This window comes from Homo sapiens, chromosome 9 (genome assembly GCF_000001405.40).
Source record: "Homo sapiens chromosome 9, GRCh38.p14 Primary Assembly".
Lineage (NCBI taxonomy): Eukaryota > Metazoa > Chordata > Mammalia > Primates > Hominidae > Homo > Homo sapiens.
Window position 1 is genome coordinate 128,231,889 of NC_000009.12, and position 15,877 is coordinate 128,247,765.

The following is a 15,877-nucleotide window of genomic DNA, read 5'->3' on the forward strand; positions in this document are numbered from 1 at the left end:
GGCTCCAGGGGCTGTGTCCCTGACTGCTAACCCGGTGGGCTCCAGGCTGATCGCCCCCTCAGCCAAGGGCTGAGAGGGGAACGTTCCTTTTGAAAAGCTGGCGGAACATCCTGGAAATGTTCAGAGGCAGCCAGAATGGAAAAAGATGCTCAAAGGGGACAGAACTTCTCAAAGGGGTGGAGGCTGCCCTGCCATGGGTGACACGTGGAAAACTTGAGACATGTGACATCCAGGCGGTTAGTGGGAGAATTGGTCATGCTCTTTGGCAAATTGCGCCCTCCTCCTCCCTCCTTCTCCCTGCTCCTCCAAACTCTACCCTGGGAGGGAGCACTTGGGACCACCTCAGAGGAGGCCTGGTGGCTGTGACCCAGTCCCAAATGTCTGCCCAGACTTGGAGACTGCAAAGAGCGGGAGCCCTTCCTTGAGCCTCAGGAGCAGTGGGGTTCACAGGGCCCCTCTAGTCACCGTTTTTAAGCCCCTGGTCTCAGACTGCCCCTCCCTCAGGTCTCCTGAGCTTAGCCACATCATCCACGCCCTTGGCACAGCCACGGGATGATGGGTGTGATGCGGGCATCCCTCGTGTTGGCATCCTGGACCGATATCCAGGGCCCTGCTTTCTCCCCATCCTCCTGCCTCTCCCATGCCCCTCCTCAAAACTCCTTGGCCTCCATCCTGCCCTCAGAATCACCACCTGTGACTCAGGCACACCAATCCCTGGGCCTCTTCCTCCACTGGGGGACCCACCTGAAGGGCCTGACCCAGCCACGGGAAGAAGGACGAGGAGCGCTCCCAGCTTTGCCCCATCGTGCTGCCTGGGCCCCAGGTGGCCACCGCGTGGAGAGGGTGGGCCCACAGGACTGGAGCCCCTGGGGGTGGGCTCCCACCATCAGAAATGCACTGAGTCTCCTCCCCGGAAGAGCTGATCATGGGCCAGAGGGCTGAGGACCCTGTGCCACTCACCCTGGCATCCATCCTTCATTCATTCCCTCATTCTCCAACACGCCCTCTTCCAGCACTGGCCATGGGCCTGGCCCTGCCCCAGCCCTGCCTCGGGGACAGTTGCCACCCAGTTGATTGGAGGAGGTGGAGTGGGAGAGGAGTGGAGAGAGGCCCCTAACTCAGCTCTCAAGCAGTCGGGGCAGGCTTTCTGGAGGAGCTGAAGTCCGGCAGAACCTTGTAGTCAAGTGAATCACCTGGGCTGTGCCCAGAGCCCGACTGAGCTGAGGGCACGATTCGCAGGCAGAGGGGGACGGGTTTGGAGCAACTTCCCCTTCAGCCTCCCTTCATAAGAACTGGGGGGAAAGAGGTGCTGCTGAGCTCCTACCCCAAAGGAGTGGGGTCGAGACAGTGTGGCTGGCCAGAGCCGGGCAGATGTGGCTGGGGATGGTGGTGCCGGGCAGGGGCATGCAAGGGAGACAGAGCTGAATGGATTCCACCAAGAGGGCCAGGGCCCAGCCAGGCCCCGCGGGGTACTGCTCATGCTGCTGGCCCCCGCCTTGCATGTCCCCCAGCCCTCGCATGCTTTTGCTTGTGTTTCCTGCATGTCCTCTGGTGTGACTGCTGGTTTTCCCCTGAACCCCCTCCCCAGCTCTGACAAGGAGCATTGCCTGTCCCAGCCTGACTCAGGAGGCCAACTGGCACCTTGGGCCCTGTCCTCCCCCGATTCCTCCTGGATAGGAATCCAGAGGCTGTCCCCTGCCTGATTCCCCATCTAGCTGTCCCTCCACGCCTTTAGGAAGGCACAGGGTAGCCCTGAGTATGAGGGAACACCTTGGGAGCTAACGGTCCCCAGAGGCCTTAACCTAACCAGTCTGCGGGGCAGGCTCATTCCCATGGCCTTTCTCCCACGGGAACCACCCCTCTGCCCTGAAGTTGCCCAGGTAGGCCAGTGAAGAGGGCCCGGAACCAGGAAGACCCTTGAATCACCATTTGGAACCCACACTTGGGGGAAAGGGGTGGCCGTGGCTTGGTGCCATCAGCGTCCTGGGACCCTAGGTCTCTCTTCCCCGCGTTGTGGGCATTCTGTGTGTGCCTCCCACCCTGCGCCGCGGATCCCTGGACTCGTGGGGTGTGGGTGCTCCCTGCCCGTGCCCTCTGTGTACGTGGCTTTCTGCCCTCCTGCCCTTCCCCAGCTCCAGCAGTACCCGCGGCTACGGGAGGAGATGGAGCGCATCGTGACCACCCACATCCGGGAGCGCGAGGGCCGCACTAAGGAGCAGGTGAGCCCCGCAGCACCCGGCCTGGCCGCGCCTTCCTTCCACTCCTGGCCGCCTGCGCCTTCCACTCCTGGCCCTGGGGTTGCTTCCTTCTTGTTTTGTCTCTTCTGTCTCAGTCTTCCTCTGTCTCATACTGACTCTCTGCTTCTCTCTCTTTTTTATTGCAGTAAAATACACATAACATACCACTTTAGCCATGTTTAAGCGCACAGTTCAGTGGCACTAAGTACATTTGCGCTGTTGCACAGCAACATCCATCCACAGAACTGTTTTTTTGAGACAGAGTCTTGCTCTATCGTCCAGGCTGGAGTGCAGTGGTGTGATCTCTCAGCTCACTGCAACCTCCGCCTCTTGGGTTCAAGTGATTCTCTTGCCTCAGCCTCCCGAGTAGCTGGGAGGCTACTGGGAGGTGGCGTGCGCCACCATGCCCGGGTAATTTTTGTATTTTTAGTACAGACAGGGTTTCACCACGTTGGCCAGGCTGGTCTCAAACTCCTGACCTCAAGTGATCTGCCCACCTCAGCCTCCCAAAGTGCTGGGATTACAGGCGTGAGCCACCGCGCCTGGCCCACAGAACTCTTTTCATCTTGCAAAACGGAAACTGTCCCCATGAAACACTAACATCCCATTCCCTGCTCCCCCAGCTCCCGGCAGCTGGCAGCCACCATTCATGTTTCTGTCTCTATGAATTTGTTGTTTGTTTGTTTTAAGACGGAGCCTCACTGTTGCCCAGGCTGGAGTACAGTGGCATGAAATCGGTTCACTGCAACCTCCGCTTCCGGAGTTCAAGCGATTCTCCTGCCTCAGCTTCCCGAGTAGCTGGAATTACAGGCACGCACCACACACCCGGCTAATTTTTTATATTTTTGGTAGAGATGGGATTTCACCATGTTGAACAGGCTGTTCTCAAACTCCTGATCTCAAGTGATCCACCCGCCTCGGCCTCCCAAAGTACTGGGATTACAGGTGTGAGCCACCGTGCCTGGCCTGTCTCTATGAATTTGACTTTTCTAGGGACCTCACGTAAGTGGAGTCATACAGTATCTGTCACTTAGCATAATGTCTTCCAGGACCATCCGTATTGTAGCATGTGTCAAAAGCTGCTTCCTGGCCGGGCGTGGTGGCTCATGCCTGTAATCCAAGCACTTTGGGAGGCCAAGGTGGGCGGATCACGAGGTCAGGAGTTTGAGACCAGCCTGGCCAACATGGTGAAACCCCGTCTCTACTAAAAATACAAAATTTAGCCGGACTTGGTGGTGGGCGCCTGTAATCCCAGCTATTCAGGAAGCTGAGGCAGGAGAACCACTTGAACCCGGGAGGCAGAGATTGCAGTGAGCTGAGATCATGCCATTGCACTCCAGCCTGGGCAACAGAGTGAGACTCCGTCTCAAAAAAAAAAAAAAGCTGCTTCCTTTTTAAGGCTTGAATAATATTCCATTGTATGGATGGACCACACTTTGTTTATTCATGTGGGTTTTTCCTACCTTTTGGCCATTGTGAATCACACTGCTTTGAAGATGAGTGTACAAATCCCTATCTGAGTCCCCACTTTCTACCCTTTTGAGTATATACCTAAAAGTGGAAATGCTGGGCCATAGGCTGGTTCTATGCTTATTTTTTTTGGAGACAGAGTCCTGCTCTGTCGCCCCTGCTAGGCAGGAGTGCAGTAGCATGATCATGGTTCACTGAAGACTCGACCTCCCAGGCTCAAGCGATCCTCCGACTTTAGCCTCCCGAGTAGCTGGGGCTACAGGTACATGCCACTACGCCTGGCTAATTTTAAAATTTTTTTGTAGAGACGGGGGTCTCACTATGGTGCCCAGGATGGTCTCAAACTTCTGGGCTCAAGCGATCTGCCTCAGCCTCCCAAAATGCTGAGATTACGAGCATGAGCCACCGTGCCCAGGCTGGTCAGGCTTTCTTCACTTTCTGGCAGTCTATCCTTGTGGTCCTCTCTTTGGGCCTCTCTTTGTCTATTTGCTGTTTCTCTGGGTCACATTATACCCCTCATAGCCACCCCCACCTTTTATGTCATCGTTCATCAAATATTCATTCATTTCTTCCTTCAATCACAAACATAGCCACTGAACGCTACCTCTGAGCTGCACGGAGCAGAGGTGAGCAGGGCCCATCGTGGCCCTCACGGAGCTCGGAGGCTAGTCCTCCTTTCTGATCCCTGTCTGCCATGCCCCTACATGTCTGTTGTAGCCCCCTCTGGCTCCCATTTCCCATTTCCTGTTTTCACACATCTCTCCATGATGCTGCCATCTCCATTCATTCATGTTTTTGTTGTTGATGTCATATTTTTAAATCCTTATTGATTGCTTTTTAATTACAAACATCATAAATACTCAATAAAACATTCAATCAGTATCGAAGTGGTTAAATTACAAGGAGATAGCCCTCCATTCACTCTTCCCCACCCCTAGTTCTTCCTGAAAAATAACCATTACTAACAGTTTGGGGCTCCACACAGTGGCTTATACCTGTAACCCCAGCACTTTGGGAGGCCTAGGTGGGAGGATTATATGAGCCCAGGAGTTTGAGACCAGCCAGGGCAACATGGCAAGACCCCGTCTCTACAAAAAATTTAAAAAACTAGCTAGGTGAGGCGGCATGCACCTGAATTCCTAGCTACATGGGAGGCTGAGGTGGGAGGGTCGCCTGAGCCCAGGAAGTGGAGGCTGCAGTGACCCATGATCATGCCACTGCATTCCAGCATGGGCAACACAGTGAGACTCTGCCTCAGTAATACCCCAAAAAGCAAACCAGTTTAGTGTGTCACCTTGCAGGCATTTTCTTATGCGTGTGCACTCACACACAAACACACACAATCCAGATTCCATCTTTATCCTAAACCACAAGCCTGCTGTGTGCCTTGCCTTTTTCCTCTGAAGATAATTGTAATATCTAACATCTGTTGAGTATCTCATCTCCTGTGTCTTCACCAGTTCTAAGAGGCAGAAACGCTACATTTGTGGACTTTGAGGCTAAGTGAGGACAGACCCCAAGCTCACAGGAAGCAGTGGGGCTTGGGTCTGAACCTGGAAGTCTTTGTCCCATCTGGAAAGTCATTCTCATCACTACTGAATTCCAAATATGTTCACATTTAATCGTTTGCAAGGGTCTTCCCAGGCCGGAACCTGGACATTATCCTTGTTCTTTTTTTTTTTTTGAGACGGAGTCTCTCTCAGTTGCCCAGGCTGGAGTGCAGTGGCTCAATCTCGGCTCTCTGCAACCTCTGCCTCCCGGGTTCAAGCCATTCTCCTGCCTCAGCCTCCCAAGTAGCTGGGACCACAGGTGCATGCCACCATGCCCGGCTAATTTTTGTATTTTTGTAGAGACAGGGTTTCACCATGTTGGCCAGGCTGATCTCGAACTTGTGAACTTGTGACCTCAAGCGATCTACCTGCCTCGGCCTCCCAAAGTGCTGGGATTACAGGCGTGAGCCACCCCGCCCGGCCTGTCCTTGTTCTTTTGAACAGCTGCAGGGTGCTTTCTTGTCTAGAGAGTGTCATAATCTATTTCACCCTCAGATGGCCACTGGCTTGCTCCCAATTTTTCTCTATTACAAACTGTACTACTTTGAATACTCTGGCTCATGTATCTTTGCTCACTTGATGAGTGTATCTGTGAGATACAATTCTGGAAGTGAATATGTGCATTGTTTGTTTGTTTGTTTGTTTTGAGATAGGGTCTCGCTCTGACGCCCAGGCTGGAGTGCAGTGGTGCCATTATGGCTCACTGCAACCTCTGCATCCCTGGGCTCAAGCGATCCTCCCATCTTAGCTTCCCAAGTAGCTGGGACCACAGGCGTACACCACTACACCTGGCTAATTTTTCTATTTTTTGTAGAGACAGGGTTTCTCCATGTTTCCCAGGTTGGTTTTGAATTCCTAGGTTCAAGCAATCCTCCTGCCTCGGCCTTCCAAAATGCTGGGATTACAGGCATGAGCCACCATTCCCTGCCCTGTGCATTTTAATGTTGTTAAATATTGCCAAATTGCCCTCAGAGAAGGTGATACTGATTTACACTTCCATCAACAATATATGAGAGAGCTCATTTCCCAACACTTGTGTCATGCTGATCATTTAAAAAGCCTCTGTTTGTTTGTTTGTTTGTTTGTTTGTTTGTTTGTGACAGAGTTTCGCTCTTGTTGCCCAGGCTGGAGTGCAATGGCACAATCTCGGCTCACTGCAATCTCCACCTCCTGAGTTCAAGTGATTCCCCTGCCTCAGCCTCCCAAGTAGCTGGGATTACAGGCATGTGCCACCATGCCCATCTAATTTTGTATTTTTAGTAGAGACGGGATTTCTCCATGTTGGTCAGGCTGGTCTCGAACTCCTGACCTCAGGTGATCCGCCCACTTCGGCCTCCCAAAGTGCTGGGATTACAGGCATGAGCCACTGCGCCTGGCTAAAAGCCTCATTTTTAACTTACATTTCTTTATTAATGAGAGTAAGGATTTTTTACACATCCTTAGTGGATGTATGCATTTCTTCTATGAATTATTCATCATGTTCTTGACTATTTTGATTTGTGATTTTCTTTTTTTTTTTTTTTCTTTTGAGGTGGAGTCTCACTCTGTCATCCAGGCTGGAGTGCAGTGGTGCCATCTCAGCTCACTGCAAGCTCCGCCTCCTGGGCTCACACCATTCTCCTGCCTCAGCCTCCCAAGTAGCTGGGACTACAGGAGCCCGCCACCACGCCCGGCTAATTTTTTGTATTTTTAGTAGAGACGGGGTTTCACCGTGTTAGGCAGGATGGTCTCGATCTCCTGACCTTGTGATCCACCCACCTCGGCCTCCCAAAGTGCTGGGATTACAGGCGTGAGCCACCGCACCTGGCCAATTTGTGATTTTCTTTCTTTCTTTCATCCTCTCCTCTCCTCTCCTCTCCTCTCTTCTTTTCTCTCAGGGTTTTGCTCTGTCTTCTAGGCTGGAATGCAGTGGTGCAATCTTGGCTCACTGCAGCCTCAACTTCCTGGGCTCAATCAATCCTCCCTCCTCAGCCTCCCAAGTAGCTGGGACTACAGGCACATGCCACCATGCCTAGCTACCTTTTGTATTTTTTGGTAGAGACAGGTCTCCCTATGTTGCCCAGGCTGCTCTTGAACTCCTAGGCTCAAGCAATCCTCCCACTTCCACCTCCCAAAGTGCTGGGATCACAGGTGTGAGCCACCACGCTCAGCTTTTGTCTTTCACTGATGGTAGGGACTATATTTATTATGGATACTAACCTCCTATATGTGCTGCAAGTACTTTTCTCCCAGCTTGCCCTGCATTTTAAAACTTTGTGGTGTCTTTTGCGCTTGCCCACCAACCTATGTATCCTTGAAGGTCATGCTTCTCATCGATATCGAGCTGGCTTACATGAACACCAACCATGAGGACTTCATAGGCTTTGCCAAGTGAGTGCTCCCCCAGGCAAAAAGTGAGTGCTCCCTGGGCAGAGAAGGTAACGTGTGTGTGTGTGTGTGTGTGTGTGTGTGTGTGTGTGTGTGTGTGTGTGTAGAGCCCAGGTCTGCTAGGTTAACCCTCTGGGTCCTGTGCCCACTAAGCAGTGGGCAGTAGAGCTGGGCCTCTTGAGAAGTTCTGAGACTCCTCCCCTCCCTCCCATTAGTGCTCAGCAGAGGAGCAACCAGATGAACAAGAAGAAGACTTCAGGGAACCAGGTGAGTGGGGCCCAGCACCCCAGCCCGAGGGATGGAGGGTGCCGGACGGACACCAGACTCTGAGAGCCCCCTCCCCTGAGGGGAAGGGTCCCACGGGGGCCAGGGACCTGTCAGCTGCCAGCCACAAGCCTCCCACTCTGCCTCAGTAACCCTCTCTCCTCTCTCCCCGATGCCTCTCGTGGTTGCTATGGTTACCTCTTTGCAGGATGAGATTCTGGTGAGTACCAGGACTGGGGCTCTCGGCTTGTGTAGTGAGGGGGCGGAGGGTCCATCGGCAGTGGGGATCTGCAACGGGTAGGAGGGCACCCTTTGGCTGAAGCTGCTTGTACACACCAGCCCCTGGCATTTCACACCTGCCCTCAGGCCAGAGGCAGGCCCAGCCGCATCCACCCGTCCATCTGTGTGCACGAGCCAAGCACCTACTTCAGGCAGAGCTAGACCGTGTGGGGCTGGGTGGGTGAGAAGGCTGGGCCTGGCACGGAGTAGGTGCTCCTTAAACATCTGCTGGATGGAGGGATGCACGTGAGCAAGACACATTTTTAAGAAGCTGACAGCCATCGCCTCCGGACTTGAATGAAGAGACGAATGAGAAGTCAAGAGAAGTCAAGAAGTCACTGCTCACCTGGCCTCCTGCTCTCTGTCCTTAGATGTCTGCGGAAACATCCCTCGTCAGAAGCGCTTGCTCAGTTGTACACATGAGCCCGAGGGTCCTCAGCTTTTCTTTCCATAGGTTCCAGAGGCCGTAGTTTCTTTGTAAGACTCTAGGTGTTTATGTGATTATTGGCTTAATGTCTATTTCCTTCCCAGGCCCCATAAGGGGAGGGCTGAGTCTGTCCCGTTTATCATTAAATCCTCAGCTCAAGCCCCTAGCCTGGCACGCAGTAGGTGCTCAACAGAATGAAGGGAGGAATGAATGTAGTATCAGGACAATTCAATTCAGCCAACACTAGCTGGTGCCTACACGGTGCTGGCCCCTGGACAGGACGTGGAGACCTGGGCCTGCTGGTAGGGCCCAGCTAAGGCCCCTGAGAGCTCCATGCAGGGTGGGAGTTGGGAGAGCAGGAGGTCCCTGGTGCAGGGCTGCAGAGAGGGCTTAGGATGAGCAGAGAGGAGTTCAGGGCTGGGTGTGGCCAAGGGGGAGGACAAAGACTACAAGTTAGGGTGGGGAGCAGGTGGCAAGATCTGCTGGTCACATCGTGGGACACAGTGGACTCAATTCCAAAGACAGTGACAAGACCCTGTGGGGATCCTCGCCTGATCAGGAAGGGGTGAGAGAGGCAGCTGGTGTTCTCCCCTCAGCTCAACTGCTGCTGGGCTGTGCAGCTTGGGTTCTCAGCGAGGTTCTCAGGGAACCAGAGAGGCATAAGGAGGGCTCCAGAAGCAAGCCTGGCCCCAGAGGGCTTTGCCGCCAGCCCCAGGCCTCCTTGGGTCTTCTCTGGATGCTCAGAGAAGAAGCTGGGGAGGTCAGCGTCCAGGAGGGAGCAGAAGCAGCTGCCTCATCCTCTCGATCTGACCCATGACCAGTACCTGGCCAGTGACCCTACCCCTGAAGTAGAATCCACAGGCCCTGGACCGTGGCCATGGCTCTGGACAGTCCTGGGGACAGCTGCTTCCTGCCATGAAAAGGGACCTTAGCTTGTTACTCTAGGCACTTTGTGGCTCAGCCCTTGCCCCTGGGGACCTGGAGCCAAAGACCCTTAGAACCGTACTATCATAGCTTTTATTTATTCATACTACAAATATGTATTGATCACTTACTATCTGCCAGGCCCTCTGCAAGGTGCTGGGATGTACTAGTGACCAACAGTTCATGATTTAGCAGGGGAGGCTGCATCGACAGATAATCACACACACGCACGTAGAGAAGTTAATTAAAAATCGAAGCCCTTGTTACAGAAGTCGACTTCAGGGAGTGATCAAAGATCATTATGGGAATCCTGATTTATACTGGGGGACAGGAAGGGGCTGCCTGAGAATGTGAATCCTGAGCTGATACTCAAAGGCTGAGTAGGAATTTGCCAGGCAAAAAGGAAAAAGTGCTTTCTAGGCAGAGGCGGCAGCAGCATGTGTAAAGTCAGAAACACATCTCAGAACAGATGAGACCTTAAGCTTCCAAGACTCGCAGTTGGCTTCCCCAATCGGCCCCATAAACTCTGCTTGCATACTTTTAGTGACAGGGAGCTCATCCCCTACCCAGGCCTCCAGTCCCTTAACTCGGCCAGGTCTGCCTGTCAAAGGCTCTTTATCCTGAGCTGATCTCTGCCTTCCTCTGTCTTCCACTCTGTTCACTTGTGGTTCAAACCAAGGCAGGTCTGGCCCCCACCCTCCCTGACTGCCAGGCCTCAGAGAGCTGGGAGAGGGGTGGGGTTTCGAATGCCTCTCTTTGCCTACCCCATCCCCCATGGGGAGGCTCAGGCCCTGTCCACTGACCTCCTGCCCCATCACCCTCCAGGTCATCCGCAAGGGCTGGCTGACTATCAATAATATTGGCATCATGAAAGGGGGCTCCAAGGAGTACTGGTTTGTGCTGACTGCTGAGAATCTGTCCTGGTACAAGGATGATGAGGTGAGTCAAGGGCCAGTGGTCATCAAGGGGCTGGGCTGGTGGACAGAGTCAGGCTCAGACCCTCCCATGGGCTTGGAGTGGGCTAGACCATGGAATAGGGTTTTAAAATGTCTCGTCAAAGATCCGTGGGCAGGCTGGGTGTGGTGGCTCACACCTATAATCCCAGCACTTTGGGAGGCCGAGGCAGGTGGATCACCTGCGGTCAGGAGTCCGAGACCAGCCCGGCCAAAATGGTGAAACCCCATCTCTACTAAAAATACAAAAATTAACCAGGTGTGTTGGCGGGCGCCTGTAATCCCAGCTACTAGGGAGGCTGAGACACAAGAATGCCTTGAACCCGGGAGGCGGAGGTTGCAGTGAGCCGAGATCGCACCATTGCACTCCAGCCTGGGCAACAGAGTGAGACTCCATCTCAAAAAAAAAGGATCCACGGGTGGAGTTGGGATGCAAGGGTCCAAGGCAGGTGACCCTGGGGGTTCAGGGGGAGGCACCCTCTCACCCAGGTTGGAAGGAGAAGGTAGCTTGGCAGGACTGAGGAGCCTGGGGCTAAGCGCCCTGGGGAGGGTGGGCAGGGGACTTGGGTGCCCCTCCCTGACCCTGCAGCCCAGCAGCCTTCCTGTTTTCCCGCTGCAGGGCGTGCCGCCTCCTCTGTGGCCCCCACAGGCCCATGACACACACAAGTCTAGCTGCCAGACACCCGGTTAACCCCTGCACCCCAGTCCCCTAGACCCCTGCAGTCCAAGGGAAATGACCAGGGTGCCCTCAGGCTGAGGGGCAAGGAGTGTGGGGGCCCTGCCGAGGTGCCACAAAAAACCCCTCCCCGCCCACTAGGGTGCACAGAAGCCCCTGCCACCTCCTTCCCCTGTTGCTGGTCTCCTTTAAGAATGAGTCTATTTGGCTTTCACATCTGGATTCCAGAGGTGACCAGAGAGAATGGGGAGGGCTGGGGGTGGGCTTGTGGTAATGAACTCCAGCTGGCCAAGGAGTGGGGGAAGGGACCCTCTTCTTCCTGAGGGGGCTGTTGGAGGCTACAGCATCCTCAACGGGGGAGCGGGGCTCTGGGTGGGGCCTGTGATTTTGGCCTCCAAGCCCCCTCCCAGGTCCCTGTCTCCTCCAAGTTTGTCCTGGGCAGGGGCCCCAACTCTCCACCTTGGGAGGGGCCCTCTGTCGTCACTGGCGGGGGCGCCAAGCCATCTGGACCTCATTACCCCAACCCTGGCCTCCCCCACCATGGGGGCCCCTGGAAGGGATGGAGTGTGCAGTGGCATGGGGTGCGGGTGGGGGGTGGCTTCCTGCCGGTCTCTCTGCAGGCTCCCTAGATGCCCCCATGGGTTTGGGGTCTCCCATGTTGAGGTTCCTTACTCAGGGCCAGGGAGACCATGTGACCTGGGGCTGAGGGCCGGAGACCGGGTGACACTGTGGGGGAGGGGCACGTGCCACTGAGGGGGTCCCCTGATCTCATGCCTGAGCCTGCAGGCCTTTCTGGAGCTTTTGTGTACATCTGAGTTAAGTCGTGTGCGAAAACAGCTCTGAGAATCATATGTGGGGAGATGGGAGTCAGCTGTGGGCTGTGGGTGCTGGGAGGCGGGGTGTGTTTGTGTGTGTGTGTGTGTGTGTGTGTGTGGCTTGTGGGTCTGGTGTGTGGGTGTTTTTTAGGAGTGTGATTGGAGTATAAGCATCTAGGTGTGTTTGGAATATGTGGTCTGCATTTGCATCTGGGGGTGAAATCTGTGTGCCTGGGGAGTGACTCTGGGCACCTGCCTGTGCTTGGGGTGTAAAAGCAGGTGTGTGTGGGGAGGGGGCTCTAGGAGGGAGGGTGTGAGTATGGGGTGTTTGAGAATCTGTGTATGTCTTTGGGATGTGAGGATGGGGGGAGTGTTCCAGTTGTGAGGGTGTGTATGGGTGTGTGTGCATGCACTTGTGTGTGTCCGTGTGGGACATGGGTGTGAGATTGAAAGTGTGGGGGTGCTCATGTGTGTGAGTTCTGGGGCTGTGAGTGTCAAGGTGCGTGTGTGTTGAATGTGAGTGGATTCTTGCACTAGGACCACTGGGGATGTGGAGGTGGTCCAGGCTGGTGGGAGAGTGGTCTGTACTTCTCTACTCAACCACCAGCCCTCAGGTTTTGGGGTGAGGGAGGCTCTTTGGGCAGACCGGCGGCTGCCCACATCCCCAGTCCCCATTGACCCCCCCATCCTCTCAGTCTTCCTCGGCCACCCTTCCCCCATCACCGCTACCCCCAACCAGTCCCACACAGGGTGGCACCCCCATCCATCTGTGCCTCCTCCCAGCCCGCCCTGTGCCCCAACCCCCTGGCTCCAGGCTCCGGTTCTGGGATGGCAGGCAGGGGTCGGTCCAGCTCTCCAGTGGCGGCGGTGCCGAGGGTCTAACCCAGCCCAGCCTAACCAATGTGCAGACTACTGTACAATTTGGGAGTCCTGAACAGATAGTCTAAACACTGGGTAGACGGAGTGGAGGTGTCCTCTGGTCCATCCAGGCAGCAGTGTCTGTCCATCCGGTGGGCGCTTCAGCCCCATCCCCTGGAGATCCGAGAACCCCCCAACCCCAGCCTGTGTCCCCCTAGCCCCAGACCAGCCAGCCCGTGGTCCCCTCTCTGCTCCCAACTCCCCTTCTGCCTCCTTTGACGTGGCAGGGGTGAGCGGGAGCTGGGGCTGAGAAGGAGGGGCCTGAGGAGGGGGCCGGCCGGCAGGAAGGGAGGGGTGGGGGGAGGAGGCCGCTCCTACCTAGTGTCCAACCCCGAAGCACAGGGCGGGTGGTGGCGGGGCCTCTCTCGAACGGTTCCAGATGTTCCCTGGCCGTGTGTGCAACTTCCTCCTCTCCTCCCCCAGCCGCCCTCTGGGGCTCCCGGCCACCCGCCTGGCATAAAGAGGGCTTTATGTGGCTGCATGGGCCAGGGGGGCGTTGGGGGCAGAGAGGGGTGGGCGGGATGACGCCAGGACGGGGGAGCAAGGTCCCCCTAAACCCAGCCCCCCACCTGAGATCCTAGGCAAGGCTCATGCCCAACCTCTTTGAGTCCCCGAGGCCCACACAGACGACCCCCGTGAACAAGTAGGGCATGGGTGACAAAAACCCCTCCCCTCTCCCAGAGCCCCATCCTGGGGTACCTCCTCCCTAGATCCCTGAACCCCTCCCCTGGGACACAGCAGCCTACATACACATGTGCCCACACCGAGCACACACATGGGCCTAGCACCCCACACGCCTGTGCACAGATACACATAACTCCTCCCAGACAGCTCTAGATAAATCAAACACACAGCCCATTGTACCACGGTGTGCAGGTAAGATGTGTACCCCAGTATAAGTCCACAGGCATGGCTCTGCAAACATGTAGGCTCGCACAATTGCCACACACATCCACAAAGTGTGCACACATCCACACTGAGATGCAGACACGCTGACACCGACACATGGTTCATGCTGGGCACCTCCCCAGATACACATGTGCACACACACACAATAGCTGATAGGATATGTACTTGGGCTTGCATGTGTTGGCACAAACACACAACTACACACATGTTGCACACACAGGCACACCATCTCCAGGCTTGTGCTGGCTGCCTTATTGCTAACACATGGGGAGCTCGGGGGAGTGGGCTGAGCCGGCCCTTTGAAGCCGCCGGGTCTGGTGGCCCCCCTTCCTGGTCTCTGCAGTCAGGAAATGAAGTCAGAGGCGGCCAGGCCGGGGGTGAGAGAGGCCTGAGTGTGCGGTCCCTGCCTGAGGCTGGCCTGGCTTGTATCCAGGACTTGCCTGGGGAGGGATTTTGGGAGCCACTCTCAGCCTCCCCACCCCTCACCAGCCCCCTGGCCCCCGGCATATATGCAGAGCTGGTAGGACTGGCTCTGCGGGGGTCGGCGGTGCCCAGGAGGCCTACGGTCCGTGGCCAGGCTTTTATCTAGCTGCACCTTCGCAGTGGGAGGGGGCTGATGCTTAGAAGCCCTGGGCCAGTCAGGGGGACTCTTAGAGAGTGAGGTGTGGCAGAGAACAGTGCCAACCTCACCCCATTGCTCCTACCTGCACCCACAGGAGAAAGAGAAGAAATACATGCTGTCTGTGGACAACCTCAAGCTGCGGGACGTGGAGAAGGGCTTTATGTCGAGCAAGCATATCTTTGCCCTCTTTAACACGGAGCAGAGGTGCCTGCCTGCCCCTGGCTGTGGCTGCTGCAGCCCCAAAACCACCCTCACTGAGTAGAAGCTGGGTACAGGGATCCAGGGAGGAGAGGAACCTCCCCTAGGCCCCACAGCAAGCCATCCACTGACAGATGCTTATTGAGTTCCTGCTTTGAGCTAGACATCATGTCAAGATCTCCCATCCCCTCCCCTTCCCTTCCCTCCTCCTTCCCTCCCTCTTTTCCTTCCTCCCTTCCTTCCTTCCATCCTCCCTCCTTTCCTCCCTCCCTCCCTTCCTCCCTTCCTTCCATTCTCCCCTTCCCTCCCTCCCTCCGTCCCTTCCTCCCTTCCATAGTCACTGGTATAGTGCATGCTCTTCATGAGACACTCTGCCAGGCACTGGAGCCAAAGGGCCCTAGTCAGGCCTGGTCCTCTTCTCCTGCTCTCTTTCCTATAGGGTGGTGGCAGTACTAGTCCTCTTCCTTCCTGACCCAAGGCTGACTCTAGTGGGCCCTCTGCTACTCGGAGATGAGAGTTCAGTCCAGCGGCCATCAGAGGGGTCCTTAGAGAGCCACGGAGAAAGCTGGTGGGATCTGGGCCCCAAGCTAGAGACTTCACTGACTATGGTTGTCCTCTTGTCAAAGGTCCAGTCCCCTTCTAAGCATTTTACCACTCACTTCACTGAATCCTCAGTGACCCAAGGAGGCAGGAATTATTATTAACCCATCTTCCCAGTGAGGAAACTGAGGCTGAGAGGAAGGGACTTGCACAGGGTCACACAGCTGGGAAATGAGCTGGCCTCAGGCATGTTGACCCCAAAGTCTGGGCATGCCCTTAACCCCCAGGGAGGGTCAGACTTTGCCCATCTGCCCTCACTGCCTGCCCTATCTTGCAGGAATGTCTACAAGGATTATCGGCAGCTGGAGCTAGCCTGTGAGACACAGGAGGAGGTGGACAGCTGGAAGGCCTCCTTCCTGAGGGCTGGCGTGTACCCTGAGCGTGTTGGGGTGAGTGGCAGGGCAAGGAGAGGAAGGGCAAGCATGATCCTAGGGCCCCTGGGGCACCATCCTCAGTGATGCCAAGTCATGCCATGTTTCCGAGCCCTTATTTGGCTCAGAAATAATAGGAATCCTCCCCCCTACCCACTCTGGGGGTGGGAACAGAGATAAGTCTCCTGGTATTCCCATCCTTCTCCAGTGGCAGTTTTGTGTCTCTGTCTCTGTTGCAGATGGCATTTCCTCCATCCCCTTTCTATGATGGTAGTTTCTTGTGACTGCCTTCTCTTT

The 15,877-nt window shown here is 55.4% G+C and overlaps 1 protein-coding gene and 2 non-coding genes across 8 annotated transcripts in view, besides 1 other annotated feature; 1 reads left to right on the forward strand and 2 right to left on the reverse strand.

Annotated features, from left to right (window-relative positions):
* DNM1 (dynamin 1) overlaps nucleotides 1-15,877 on the forward strand; it is a 51,866-nt gene that overhangs the window by 28,510 nt on the left and 7,479 nt on the right. For all 6 annotated transcript variants that reach the window (NM_001005336.3, NM_001374269.1, NM_004408.4 and 3 more), the window contains exons 11-17: nucleotides 2,133-2,219; nucleotides 7,557-7,627; nucleotides 7,840-7,891; nucleotides 8,097-8,108; nucleotides 10,344-10,457; nucleotides 14,506-14,615; nucleotides 15,487-15,598. In NM_001005336.3, coding sequence (NP_001005336.1) covers nucleotides 2,133-2,219; nucleotides 7,557-7,627; nucleotides 7,840-7,891; nucleotides 8,097-8,108; nucleotides 10,344-10,457; nucleotides 14,506-14,615; nucleotides 15,487-15,598 — 558 coding nt within the window. The remainder of the gene's footprint in view (nucleotides 1-2,132; nucleotides 2,220-7,556; nucleotides 7,628-7,839; nucleotides 7,892-8,096; nucleotides 8,109-10,343; nucleotides 10,458-14,505; nucleotides 14,616-15,486; nucleotides 15,599-15,877) is intronic.
* Nucleotides 988-1,487: an enhancer, noted in NCBI's record as "H3K4me1 hESC enhancer chr9:130995155-130995654 (GRCh37/hg19 assembly coordinates)". NCBI's record gives its function as "activates a minimal SCP1, AML or CMV promoter by ChIP-STARR-seq in naive H9 embryonic stem cells {active_cell/tissue: H9 hESC(naive)}" and the evidence as "EXISTENCE:reporter gene assay evidence [ECO:0000049][PMID:30033119]".
* On the reverse strand, nucleotides 12,833-12,942 carry MIR199B (microRNA 199b). Its single transcript, NR_029619.1, has one exon. It is a non-coding gene; the product is annotated as a microRNA 199b (primary transcript).
* Nucleotides 13,059-13,142, reverse strand: MIR3154 (microRNA 3154). Its single transcript, NR_036110.1, has one exon. It is a non-coding gene; the product is annotated as a microRNA 3154 (primary transcript).